The sequence below is a fragment of the Homo sapiens genome, chromosome 8, assembly GCF_000001405.40.
Source record: "Homo sapiens chromosome 8, GRCh38.p14 Primary Assembly".
NCBI lineage: Eukaryota > Metazoa > Chordata > Mammalia > Primates > Hominidae > Homo > Homo sapiens.
In genome coordinates this window covers 69,690,845-69,704,552 of record NC_000008.11, presented here as the reverse complement: position 1 = coordinate 69,704,552, position 13,708 = coordinate 69,690,845, and the positions used below count along the sequence as shown (strand labels likewise).

The 13,708-nt window shown below is 39.8% G+C and overlaps 1 protein-coding gene and 1 pseudogene across 3 annotated transcripts in view; one reads left to right on the top strand and one right to left on the bottom strand.

Annotated features, from left to right (window-relative positions):
- SLCO5A1 (solute carrier organic anion transporter family member 5A1) overlaps positions 1–13,708 on the top strand; it is a 167,933-nt gene that overhangs the window by 130,426 nt on the left and 23,799 nt on the right. The window lies entirely within an intron of this gene.
- Positions 4,058–4,329, bottom strand: RN7SKP29 (RN7SK pseudogene 29; annotated as a pseudogene).

Below are 13,708 nucleotides of genomic sequence, written 5' to 3'. Positions count from 1 at the left end.
TCTTTATTTAAGACATTGTGGATATGTATTTTCAATTGTCCCTCTTTTGTATCTAAAATAGAGCATTCATACATGCTTTGCTGAGCTTTTAAAAAATGGAACAATATAGCTTGGAGATCTTTCAGTACTGGTAGTAACAATCTGAAGCATAACTCCCCCTTACCATGACTGTATTGCAGGCTGAGCATTCTCTTAAGTGCTTTACATATGTTAATCCATGAATCCTCTCAATAACCTATCAAATAGGTGCTGTTATCATCCTGAGTTTACAGATAGCAAAACGGAGGTACTGATCACATGTAACCAATGGACTGCTGACAAATGTTTAAATGGCTCTCTAAAAAAGGCTCATGGCTGGTGCAGTGGCCCAGACCTGTAACCCCAGCACTTGGGGGAGGCTGACGCAGGAGAATAACTTGAGACTGGGAGTTCAAGACCAGCCTGCGCAACATAGTGGTAACCCATTTATACAAAAAGTAAAAAGTAAAAAAAAGCCCTGATTTGTGGCATTTGGCAATTCTGAGATGTAAATACACCTCTGTGGCTGATTTCATGTCACCAACTTGTCGACCCTGAACACCGAATTGGGAGGAGGTGCTAAGTCACACACCATTGTATAATGTTTCTATCATACAGGTAGAATAGACTTAAATAGCCTAGGCAAGAGCATTGATAATAGTAAAATAATTAGAAGATGATGAGTTTTACGTATTTATTATCCTTGTCTTTAATACCATTTAATTGTATGTTTATATCATTTAATTTTTAAAAATAGTTGTGTTAAACAAACAATTGACAAAATCCCTTAGAATTTCGCAGTAGAATCTTGTCATCCAGGGTGGCTGCCTCCAGTGCACCACTGTCCAGAACCCAAGACTTAACCTCAGGCAATTTGGCTACAGTGTCTGTGCCCATAAGCACTGCCTTTAACCACTGCATAGCATTCCATTGTATTCCACTTTGTATTTAACCTGCCCCCATTTGGTGGGCAGTGGGTTGTTCCTAATCTTTAATTGTATTTATTTATTTATGTATTTATAGACATCGTCTCACTATGTTGCCCAGGTTGGTCTTGAACTCCCGGTCACAAGTGAGTCTCCTGTCTCAGCCTCCCAAGTAGCTGGGATTATGGGCATATGGCACCGTGCCCAGTTAATTTTTAGTTGTTAAAAGCAATGCTGCAATAAATAACTTCAAGGCATTTATCACTTCTCTTGTGTGCTCTGTATGTGCAGGATAAATTCTCAGAAGTGAGATTGAATAAATAGTACCAAATTACCTCCACAGGTATTGTACCAATACCTCACCAGCAATGGATATGAGTGCTGTTTTCCCCACACCCTCACCAAAAGGAGGTGGAAAGCTCTTCTGTGAGAGTTATGAAAACCTTAACTTTTATTTCTTTTTCTTTTCTTTTTTTCTTTTTTCTTTTTTTTTTTTTTGAAACAGAGTCTCTCTCTGTCCCCCAGGCTGGAGTGCAATGGTGCAGTCATGGCTCACTGCAGCCTCAACCTCCCAGGTTCCAGGGATCCTGTATCCTCAGCCTCCCAAGTAGGGAGAGTCTACAGGCATGCACCACCATGTCTGGCTAATTTTTTGTATTTTTTGTAGAGACGAGGTCTTACTTTGTTGCCCAGGCTGGTCTCAAACTCCTGAGCTCAAATGATCCTCCTGCCCCCACTTCCCAAAGTGCTGGGATTACAGGCATGAGCCACTGTGCCCAGCCAACCTTTACTTCTTAACCACATGTAGTTTTGTTAGGATCTGCTCATTTAACAGAGCTTCATTGTCCAAGTTTTGGTGCTTGGTGCCAAGAAACACTTCTGTTTCCTTTTGTTTCTCAGTGGAGTTTTATGTTCTAAAATGTTCCACTTTGCATTTGAATAACAAAAGCTTTGATTTCATCTAGCCAATTTAGAATGTTTGGGAGTGAGGAGAAGGAATAACAAATCAGAGTTTATTTAGATTACAGAATACTGTGCCATCTTTTGTCCTGGGAGTTATTTTTCTACCAGAAGACATTGGTGTGTGTGTGTGTGTGTGTGTGTAAGATGTGTGTACCGGGTATGTGGCTTCTTGATAGTGCCTAATAGGATGGCACAAACAATAAAGTCTCTAAAAATGAAAAAGCAGTATAGAATAAGAACTCAGGCTCTGGAGTGGAATTAGAATTTGGATCTTGACTCTGCTTGGCTGGTTGCTTAATGCCAAACCTCAATATCTACTTCTGTAAATTGGGGTGATGTTAGCAGCAATCTCAGAAGGTTGTGGGCAAGGGTTATGTGTGTAACACATGTAAAGCTCTCAGCTCAGTGTGAGGCACTGAAGGCTAGCTCTTGTCATTAGTCATCACTAATAAATTAAGAATAATTTTTATTTCTATCAAATTATGTTTTATTAAAATTAGAGAACATAAATAGAATTAAAAAGTTCATAACAAAAACCCAGCAGTCTTATGACTAGCTCTGATTTGCAGGGGCAATAATTTTAAATTCTTTTTAGCTGTTTCTTCTACAATGTGACTCTGTATTTTTCAGAAATACTATATAAATTAATCAAACTAAGGTATTATTTGTGACTTCCTAGCTTGGCAAATGAGGAGCTTCACTTTACCTTTACAAATTGTGGTCAAATCCTTTTTTTGTATTTTCATGTTAAATTTATGACATGTGTATTGTCAATGGAAAGAGTCGAACTCTGTAAAATATTTGAAGACATTTATTCTGAGCCAAATATGAATGACTATGGCCTGGGACACAGCCCTCAGGAGGTCCTGAGAACATGTGCCCAAGGTGGTCGGGGTGCAGCTTGGTTTTATACATTTTAGGGAGAAATGAGACTTCAATCAAATACATTTAAGAAGTACATTGGTTTGGTCCAGAAAGGCGGGACAACTCGAAGCAGGGGCCTCCAGCTTTTAGGTAGATTAAAAAATTTCCTGGATGACAATTGGTTGAGTTTATCTAAAGACCTGGGATCCATAGGAAGGAATGTCTGGGTTAGGATAAAGGACTGTGGAGACCCAAGTTCTTACTTGCAGAGGAAGTCTTCCAGTAGCAGGCTTCAGAGAGAATAGACTGTAAAATGTTTCTTATCAGATTTCAAGTCTGTGTTGATGTTAATGTTGGAGAGGTATAATGAGTCATGCCAGACTCCCCACTTCCCATCCTGGTCTGAACTAATATCTCAGGTTAAATTTTAAATAGCCCTGGCTGAGAAGGAAGTCCATTGAGTTGGTTGGGGGGCCTTAGAATTTTATTTTTGGTTTACAGTATCATGATTAGATTTCCTTATTTGTGTAACACTGATTTTCCTGGAATTAATAATTGCCTTATTTTCATTTACTTTGCTTTCTTTGAATCTGCATCCAGTTTCCCACACCCTCTGAGAGCTCAAAAAGTATCTCAACATGACCTTCCACTTATCTGATGAGCTCAGAGTTCCATTTCCCCACTCCTTGGAGTCATCTGTGCAGGGCCCACAGTCCCCCTACTCTCATCTGGACACAATGTTTCTAGGCTGGCTGCCCGGCTGTCATCCTGAGAATTCCTGTGCCTCTCTCTGTATTGATCCTTTGTTTTTTGGACTCTGTGGAGTCCTCTTTTTTGATTTACTCCCTCATTTTGATGGAGCACATCCTCCAGTAGCTACAAAAAGGTTGTGTAGGCTGTAACTTTGGTTTCTTGGGAGACTTTTTATTATATATATTGATAAATATTATATATAAATATATACACACACATACACACCGTTACATTTGATTGCCAAGGTGGCTGAAATTTTGGATGAGTCATTTTTACTCAGAGTTTTGAAGTTTTTGCCCCATTGTCATCTAATTTCTAATGCTCTTTTTGGAAGTCTGGCTTTTCTTTTTCCCAATGCTTTGTATGAGATGTATTTTTCCTTCCTGGGAGCTTCCTTTTATTACTAGTATTTCAGAATTTTACTATGATGTGTTTTGAGATGGATCATTTTGATTTTTTGCTAGGCACATGGTGAGCTCTTTCTGACTGGAGACTATTATTTTTCAGGTCTGTTTTTAATTTCTTTTTTCTCCTTGCCATTTTTTCTCGTTCTCCCCTTCATTGATCTCTCCTTTTCTTGTTCTTGTTTGGGGATACTGGCAACTTTTTGCATGCCTTTGACCAAAGAATGATCCTCCTCTGTCAGAGAAGGTTGCCCTCTTTGACCAAGTGTGCAGCTTCAGGAGGGACGCAGGTGGAGCAGTGAGGGAGGCAGGGGCACACCCGTCTATTCAGCCAGATCAGCTGAATCAACCCTGACAATCAATGCGGTGGCAGGTGTCACAGCCAAATTACTCTCATATCCTCCTTTCCTTATTATTTATCACCATTTCATATGTCCTTTTCTGTTCTACTTTTAAAAAAGATTTCTTGCATTTTATCTTCTAAGTCCTCTGTTGAATTCTTTATTTTGGCTGTCATCTTTATTTTTTTGAAACAGGGTCTTGCTCTGTCATTCAGGCTGGAGTGCCGTGGCACGATCATGGCTCACTGCAATCTCTGCCTCCTGGTCTGAAGTGATCCTCCCACCTCATCCACTGCAAGTGTCCACCACTACACTGGGATAATTTTTTGTAGAGATGCGGTCACTCTATGTTGCCCAGGCTGGTCTTGAGCTTCTGAGCTCAAGCAGTCTGCCCACCTTGGCCTCCTAAAGTGCTGGGATTACAGGCGTGAGCCACCTCACCCAGCCTATCATATTTTTAATTGCAAAATTCTTGCTGGATTTCAGAATGTCCCTTGTTTCTAACCATCTTGCTTTATGAGTGGAATATTTTCTCTTACTTTTCCAACATTATTTAGACTTCCTTTTCTTTCCTAATTTGTCTCTGTGTCCTATAAGTGCCTAACTTTCTGTTTATTTTGCCGTCTTGATTGTGTTAGCAGCTCTGCTCAAATTTCTGGTGATCCTTAGCTTGCTCATGGTATTGAAGAATGAGAACTTAAAAAGCTGAGCAGTTTGCTGTGTGTGTGTGTGAGGGTAGGTCTTGTCATCTGGTGGGTCTCGCTGTGGGAGGTGGATACAACTGGAGTTTTCATCAGGGTGCTGCAGTGTCAGAACCCAAGGGCTTACCTCTGAGGTGCTTCAGTTCCTCAAGAGATGGATGCTCCTTTCTCTCCTGCTAGGGCCCTGCTGGGGAGGACTACAGGCTTGTAAGCCTTGCTGCTGGCATCCTAGAGCTGAGAGTTGGGGGAACGGGCCTGGGTCCTCACTGTTCATTTTGCAGGCTTTTACCTAACTTCCCTGTCATCATTCTAGCATCTCACCGAACTTCTCCTTTATGTGTGGTGCTCTTATGCCAGAGCCTTTGGTGCATTTTCTCCAGAAAACAGGGAGTATGAGGGAAGGAGCAGTTACCTAAGTAGAGAAGGGATGGGAATTTGCTTAAAATTGTGTCGTAGATGGACTATATCTTTCTTGTGTTACTGTCCTCAAGGTCTAAGGGCCTCTTCTTTCTCTTGCTACTTGCCTTGATCATGTCCATATGTTTTCCTAAGTTCTCATTCACGCTTTCTGTTTTACTGAATCTTCCTCTTTCCCTGAACTCCATCCTCCTGCTTCACATTGGACTGCTTGCTCAGTTGACATAACTTACATCCTGGGACCTCCTTTCAGAAGTTTCGTCAGTTGTATCCACTAGTTTTTGTTTGTTTATTTATTTGGTAACTCCTCATTTTGCCAGAAAAAAACCTCAGATAACTTCCGTGGAAAGGGAACATGGGAAGAAAGTATTTCTGAGCCTGTGAGCATATTAAAGCATCTTTGTTCTTTCACATTGAAGTGATAGTTTAAGCAGGCGTAGAATTCTAGGTTAAAAAATTATCAGCCCCATTAAAAAGTGGGCAAAGGACATGAGAAGGTACTTTTCAAAAGAAGACATACACACAGCCAACAAGCATATGAAAAAATGCTCAACATCACTAGTCATTAGAGAAATGCAAATCAAATCCACAGTGACATGCCATCTCACATCAGTCAGAATGGCTATTACTAAAAAGTAATAAAATAACAGATGCTGTCAAGGTTGTGGAGAAGAGGAAATGCTTATACACTGCTGGTGGGAGTGTAAATTAGTTTAGCCATTGTAGAAAGCACTTTGATGGTTTCTCGAAGAACTTAAAACAGAATTACCATTCAACCCAGCAATCCCATTACTGGTTATATATCCAAAGGAATATGAATAATTCTACCATAAAGACACATGCACACATATGTTCATTGCAGTATTATTCACAATAGCAAATACATGGAATCAATCTAAATGGCCATCAATAAGAGACTACATAAAGAAAATGTGGCATATACACACCACGAAATACTATGCAGCCATAAAAAAGAATGAGACCGTTCCCTTTGCAGCAACATGGATGGAGCTGGTGGCCATCATCCTAAGCAAACTAACACAGGAACAGAAAACCAAATACCGCATGTTCCCACTTACAAGCTAAACACTGAGTACACATGGACACAAAGAAGGGAACAACAGACCCTGGGGTCAACACTGGAGGGTGGGAAGAGGGAGAGGTTGGAAAAACTGCCCATTGAGTACTGTGCTGATTACCTGAGTGATGAAATGATCTGTCCACCAAACCCGCTTAACACATAATTTACCTGTATAATAAACTTGCACATGTACTCCTGAACCTAAAATAAGTTTAAAAAAATTGAAACAAACAAACAAGTAAAAATAAAAAAAATTATCTTTCTGGGGACTTGGAAACCATTGCTTTATTTGTCATCTAGCATGTTCTGTTGCTGATAAGAAATGTAATTTCAGCCTTAGTTCTCATTTCTCTGTGGCTAACTTTATTTGGAAGTTTTCAGAATACTTTTTTTCAAGGTGTTGTGAAATTTCTTAAGGAATGATTTACCCTCAGATTTTGTCATGGATGGAGCCTTCTTATAATCCTAATGCCACCTTCTCAGAGAGGCTTTCCATCTCTGCCCAATCTAGGGGAGCCCGCTGTCCCCCCACTCTTGATTACATTATTTCTCCTTAGTTTCCTCATGGCACTTAACATTATCTGAAATTATCTCATTTAATGATTTGCTTTGCTTTTGTCCCCTCTGTCTAAAATATGAGCTCTTTGGGCACTGTTCGTAGAGCTGTGTGTGTATATATATATAATTTTTTTTTGGAAACAGAATCTCGCTCTGTCGCCCAGGCAGGAGTGCAGTGGCACAATCTCGGCTCACTGCAACCTCCACCTCCCGGGTTCAAGCGATTCTCCTGCCTCAGCCTCCCGAGTAGCTGGGATTATAGGCATGAGCCACCATGCCTGGCCCAGCTATCTATATAACAGTTGCATCCTCACCATCTAAAATATGTATGATATTTGTTGTGTGAATGAATGAATGAACGAATGAATGAGTGCCTCGGCACAGGGCTTTGTTCATTCATTGTACTAGGCACTTTCTGACCCTTTTAATGCAACATATGTCTTTTTTTTTAAACTCATTTTCTCTTTTCCCTGTGTTCTCTAGTACTGTTGTTAGTCAGATGTTGGAACGTATGGACTGGTTGCCTGTGTGTTTAATTTATTCTCTCATATTGCATGCTTTTGTCTTTTGCTATGAGAGATTTTTTTAAGCCTTGTTTTCTATCTTTATGTACATTTTTTATTTTGAGGATTTTTTTCTTTGCTGGATTCTGAGTGTTCCCTTTTCATAGCATTCTGGTGTTGTTTTATGGAGTAATGTCTTCTCAGATCTCTCTGCACATATAATTAGGATCTTTCTTTTAACTTTGTTTTTATGCCTTGCATTTTATCATTTTGTTTTAAAGAATCAGTTTTTCTGTTTGTTTATTCTGGGCTTTGCAGATGACAATACTCAGCCTAACATATCTCAGATCGTGTCTTTTCTCTCCCTCTACCTCAAATACAAGAATGAGGGGATTTTATTCAGAGTTCTCAACATCTAGAGTAGAAGTTTAGCTTTTTAAATTTCTTCCAGGTTCCTTAGAGAAGCACTTCCTGATGAATTTCTGGGCCGTAAATTGGAGATGGGAGGCAACGGATAAATGAGAATGGAAGGGCTCACTGATACAATTTGTCTTCCTTAGATCTCCAGGGAGGCCCACAGTTTTTTCTCCACATCTCACTTTTGCCTTCTGTCACATCTGCTCACTTTGAGCTCAGAACCCATGGAGATTCGATCGGGCAGGCTGGCTCCTCTTTCTCCAAGGCGGCCTCTGCCTGTCTCACATAAACCCATGCCTATCTACTTGCCATTTTTGTGGAGTTTGGTGTCATGCTTTCCTTTTAACCCTACTCTGCTTTTATTTCAAGTGTGTTCTCAGAAGGGAACGGAAAGCACAGTCCACGTCTTACCTGCTTTTAAACAGCAAGTTTCCTCAAGACTCTTAAAGCCCCTGCTTAACACCACACCTACCTCACCCATCCTGAATCAACTGCTGCTGGGCTTGCCCAGCACTGCTGGGAAAAAATTACATAATGTGCTGATTGGCTCCATTACAAATGTATGAGTTCCAATCTTAGCAGGACCTCATATTTGCTGAGCAATCCATTTACTTCATCCCAGTCAGCTTTCTTTCTCATGCCCATGATGGTGGCTCTGTTTTTATTTTTAAACCCATTTCTTCAAGTCCTTTATCATACCCTGGTCTTGTTTTTCTTAGCAGACAACCTAGTAGCCCATATTAGTTACAGGTGAAGTTATGAAGAATGAACTTTCTGAACTTCTTTCTTCCATCCCCTCAAACTCATCTGTCTAACACAGTATTGTTTTCAAAGGCAAGTACTGGCTCCATCATTTCCTAACTGTGTGACCTTGCAAAAAAATTACATACCATTGTTGAGTCTTGGGTTTCTCATATATAAAATTGGTGATAATGTCAATCTCTCCTGGTTACAAGCATAATTAAAGTTCATCTCTCCTGGTTACCAGCATAATTACTTATACATTTGGTTGAAAACATTAAAATAGTGCGGAAGGGTTAAAAAAAAAAAGAGAGAAGTCAATGTCTCCTTTTCTCATCCTCAACCTTTCTTTTTTTTATTTTTTATTTTTGAGACGGAATCTCGCTCTGTCATCCAGGCTAAAGTGCAGTGGCACAATCTCGGCTCACTGCAACCTCCGCCCCCTGGGTTCAAGCAATTATCCCTGCCTCAGCCTCCTGAGTAGCTGAGATTACAGGTCCCGCCAACATGCCCGGCTAATTTTCGTATTTTTTAGTAGAGATGGGGTTTTACCATGTTGGCCAGGCTGGTCTTGAACTCCTGACCTTACGTGATCCGCCTGCCTCTGCCTCCCAAAGTGCTGGGATTACAGATGTGAGCCACGATGCCTGGCAACCTTTAGTTTAAATCATGTGAATATTTTAAACAAACATTTGTAGTTTTGATAATGAGGATGATACAGGGAAGTTTCTCATATTTCCTAGCACAGAATCTAGCACTTTGTATATGCTGAAAAAAGTTAGTTTCTTATCTCTACTCCCTTCCTTTCTGGATCATGCAGAGCAATTCCATTTTCTTCTTTAACAGATGAATGAATGTCTGGCACCTACCTCTGCTCAGGGATGTTACTCATATAGTGAGGCTGCAACTCTTATGAACTCGACGGAAATTTACATCTTTATTATCTAATCCATGAATTACAGTACACCTTTTCTCACTTAGTTGTATTCAATCTAGAACAAGTAACCTGACTAAGAGTGCTGGAAGCTGCTGCAAGGACCCAATTGTTTTAGTATTTGCAGTCTGACTTTAAAGGAACTTTATAAATTGTAGCAAAGGAATAACTCAGTTTCCATGGAGAATTTTTCTGGTTTCTCAAGTCCTAGGAATACAGTCTAGAATGACTTAATGAAAACACTACTGGGTGGTGCGGCTGTATAGGCGTGCCACTTTTAGAGTAGCAGATACCTTTGCGTGAACAAAAATGGAATCCTTTCTCCAAGCAGGGTGTGAGCTACATTTCAGCTTTGCTCCCTTGGCTGGGTGCCCTTGTGCAGTGTACAACCTGCTCAACAGTATGTGGCTGGCCTGCCTAGTAAAAACTGTTTCTTGTTCTGCATGATTTTAAGACTTGCATGTGGCTTTTTTCCCTTTCAAGTCAATAAAGAGAAAGATGAAGGGAGTGGCAGTGAAGAGAGGAGTCTTTGTAAGGTACATGTTTGGTTCAGTGTGATTGGCACTTACACATGTCTTATGCTTACAACATCCCTCTACTGTTTATATTATTATCTATGTTTTAGTTAAAGAACCTGAGGCTTAGAAATGAAGTGATTTATCCAAACTCATCAGTTAATAAGGAGTGGAGCTGAATCAGATCTAGATGATTTATGTCAGAGTTTGCATTCTTTCTGAGCACCTCACTGAGGTGCTGTTTTAAATTGTGTATTTCATGCACGTACGCACCTGCATGCACACACAACCTTCTTGCTGAATGAGCTATTGGGGATGTATCTACTTCTCAATACTGCATGGCTTTCTGATATTTCAAAGCAGCTGAGTTACAGGCATCGTGCTACATGCTGTGCATGCCTACAGCATTTGCTCTGTGGCTCTCACATCAGCCAGTCTAGATTTTCACCTGAGCCTTGCCACATACTGGCTGTCTGAGTATGGGCAAATTATTTGACTTTTCTGGGCTTGGTTTCTACATCTTTAAGGTGAGACTACAGATAGTATCTATCTAGTCGGATTGATGTGAGGATTGAGTAAGATACTTGGCCAATTCTTTAACCTTTCTGTGCCTCAATTTCTTCAACATTAAGATGTGATCAATTATAGTACTCATCTCTTAGGATTATAGGGAGGATAAAATGGGATAAAATTCATAAATTGTAAGCAATTGATAAATAACTATTTAATGGTATTTTTCTCCTTATTAATGAGGATAAAGTCTCAGAGAGGTTAAATAACTTGCTTGAAGTCAAACAGCTAGAAAATGGCTGAGCTAGGGTTTGAAATTAGGTTTCTTTGGTTCTGGATGCAATGCTGCAATACTTTTGATTATTACACTATTTTGACAGAAGAAAAAAATACAAAGAAGAAAGCATGCTATATAAGCCAGTTCCATTCATTAAAGTTTATGTGAAGGGCTTCAGGTTTACAGGCATGGTGAAAAGACTTAATGACTGACCCATCTTTGATTAGTATCAAATACTCATAAGTCACCTAAGTGCCTGAGATGGGGTTGGGATGTTTTAGGAGAATGAGCTTTTCCTGTGAAGCCAAAATGGAATCACAGTCTTTTTGTAGAATGAACCTGATGTGTTATTAGTGGTTTTCTTAGAAAATTCAGATTTGATAGCCAAGATATGGAAGCAACTTAAATGTCCATAGACAGATGAATGGACAAAGAAAATGTGGTATGTTCATGCATCACATAACAATGTTTCAGTCAATGATGGACATATACAATGGTCATCCTGTAAGATTGTAATGGAGCTGAAAAATTCCTATTGCCTAATGATATTGTAGTCATAAGGTCGAAGTGCAATGCGTTGGTCATGAGTTTGGAGTGATGCTGGTGTAAAGAAACCTACTGTGCTGGCAGTCCTTCAATAGTACAGCACATGTAGTTGTGTAGAGTACATAGAACTTGATAATAAGCACCTGTGTTATTGGTTTATGCATTTACTATACTATACTTTTAATCATTATTTTAATGCATACTCTTTCTACGTATTAAAAAAGTCAACTGGGAAACAGCCTCTGGCAGGTCCTTCAGGAGGTATTCCGAAAGAAGGCATTGTTATCTTAGGAGATGACAGCTCCATGCATGTTATGGTCCGTGAAGATCTTGAGACAAGATATGGGGGTGGGAGACAGTGATACTGATGATCCTGACCCTGTGTAGGTGTAGGCTAATGTGTGTGTTTGTGTCATAGTTTTTAAGAAAAAGTTTAAAACGGCAAAAAAAGAAAACAGTTTATAGAATAAGGATATGAAGAAAAAATACTTTTGCACCACAGTTCAATGTGTGCTTTAAGCTAAGTGCTATTACAAAAGAGTCAAAAAGCTAAAAAATAATTACAAAGTGTATAAAGTAAAAAAATTATAGTAAGCTAAGGCTAATTTATTATTGAAGAAAGAACTGTGGTTTTTAATGGATTTAGCGTAGCCTAAGTGTACAGTGCTTATGAAGACTACAGCAGTGCACAGTCATGTCCTAGGCCTTCACATTCACTCACCACTCACTCACTCATTCACTCACCCAGAGCAAATTCCAGTCCTGCAGGCTCCATTCATGATAAATGCCCTATACAGGTGTATCATTTTTTATTTTTTATACTTTTTTATTTTTTGAGATGGAGTCTCACTCTGTTGCCCACGCTGGAGTGCAGTGGCACGATCTTGGCTCACTGCAAGCTCCGCCTCCCGGGTTCATGCCATTCTCCTGCCTCAGCCTCCCAAGTAGCTTAGATTACAGGCGCCCGCCACCACACCTAGCTAATTTTCTTGTATTTTTAGCAGAGACAGGGTTTCACTGTGTTAGCCAGGATGGTCTTGATCTCCTGACCTTGTGATCTGCCCACCTCGGCCTCCCAAAGTGCTGGGATTACAGGCGTGAGCCACCGCGTCCGGCCTTATACTTTATTTTTATTGTACTTTTCCTATGTTTAGACACACAACTCCTTGCCATTGTGTTGTAATTGCCTATGGTATTCAGTACACAAATATGCCGTACAGGTTTGTAGCCCAGGAGCAATAGTCTATACTGTATAGCCTAGGAGTATAGTAGGCTAGACCACTTAGGTTTGTGTAAGTGCATTCTATGACATTTGTACAGTGATGAAACCACCTGATGATGCATTTCTCAGAATGTGTCCCTGTCATTAAGTGACACATGACTATATACATACAATGGAACACTATTCAGCCTTAAAAAAGAAGGAAATTCTGCAATATGCAACAACATAGATGAACCTTGAGGACATCATGCTGAGTGAAAAAAGCTGGTCACAGATTTCACTTACATGAGGTATCTAAAAGAGTCAAGTTCATAGACTCAAAGAGCTAGAATGGTGGTCATCAAGGCTGGGGCGATTGGGAAAAGGGTTGTTACTAATCAGGAGCCATATAGTTTTAATCAAGCAAGATGAATAAGCTCTAGGGATCTGGTGTTCAACATCATGTCTAGAGTCAACAATACTGTATTGTACACTTAAAACTTTGTTAAGAAGGTAGATTTCATGTTAGGTATTCTAACCACCGTAAAATAAAACAGAAACTTCAGACTTAAAAATCTGATGAGTTTTCATTTTGAAAGATCGTGAGAGCTCTAGCAAAATCCTGGCCCATTTCCAACTCACATAATTACATTCCCAGCACTCACAATTTTCCTCCAGTTTTAATTAAGAAATGTGTTTTGCTTCCTCTCTGTGGCTGCCAGACTGTACTTCATACAGGTGTGTCCTAATCACCTTGGACCCGAAAGAGCTGGCATTGACCATGAAAACTTTGGTTAAGTGATGCTTTACATAAATCCATTGTGTAATGTGAGTTATTGCCCCTCACTCTGCCTTTTCTTCAAATAATTTTTTAAATGGGGTTAAGTCTGATGTCTGTATAAAGACTTTTTAACCAGTGCTATGTGCTGATGAATCACTTAGTACTTACTTACTGTCTATGACTATCTTTCATTTATCAATTGTCATCTTTTTGAACTTAAAGCAAAATCTATTATATTATCTGGGTTTGTGACTTGA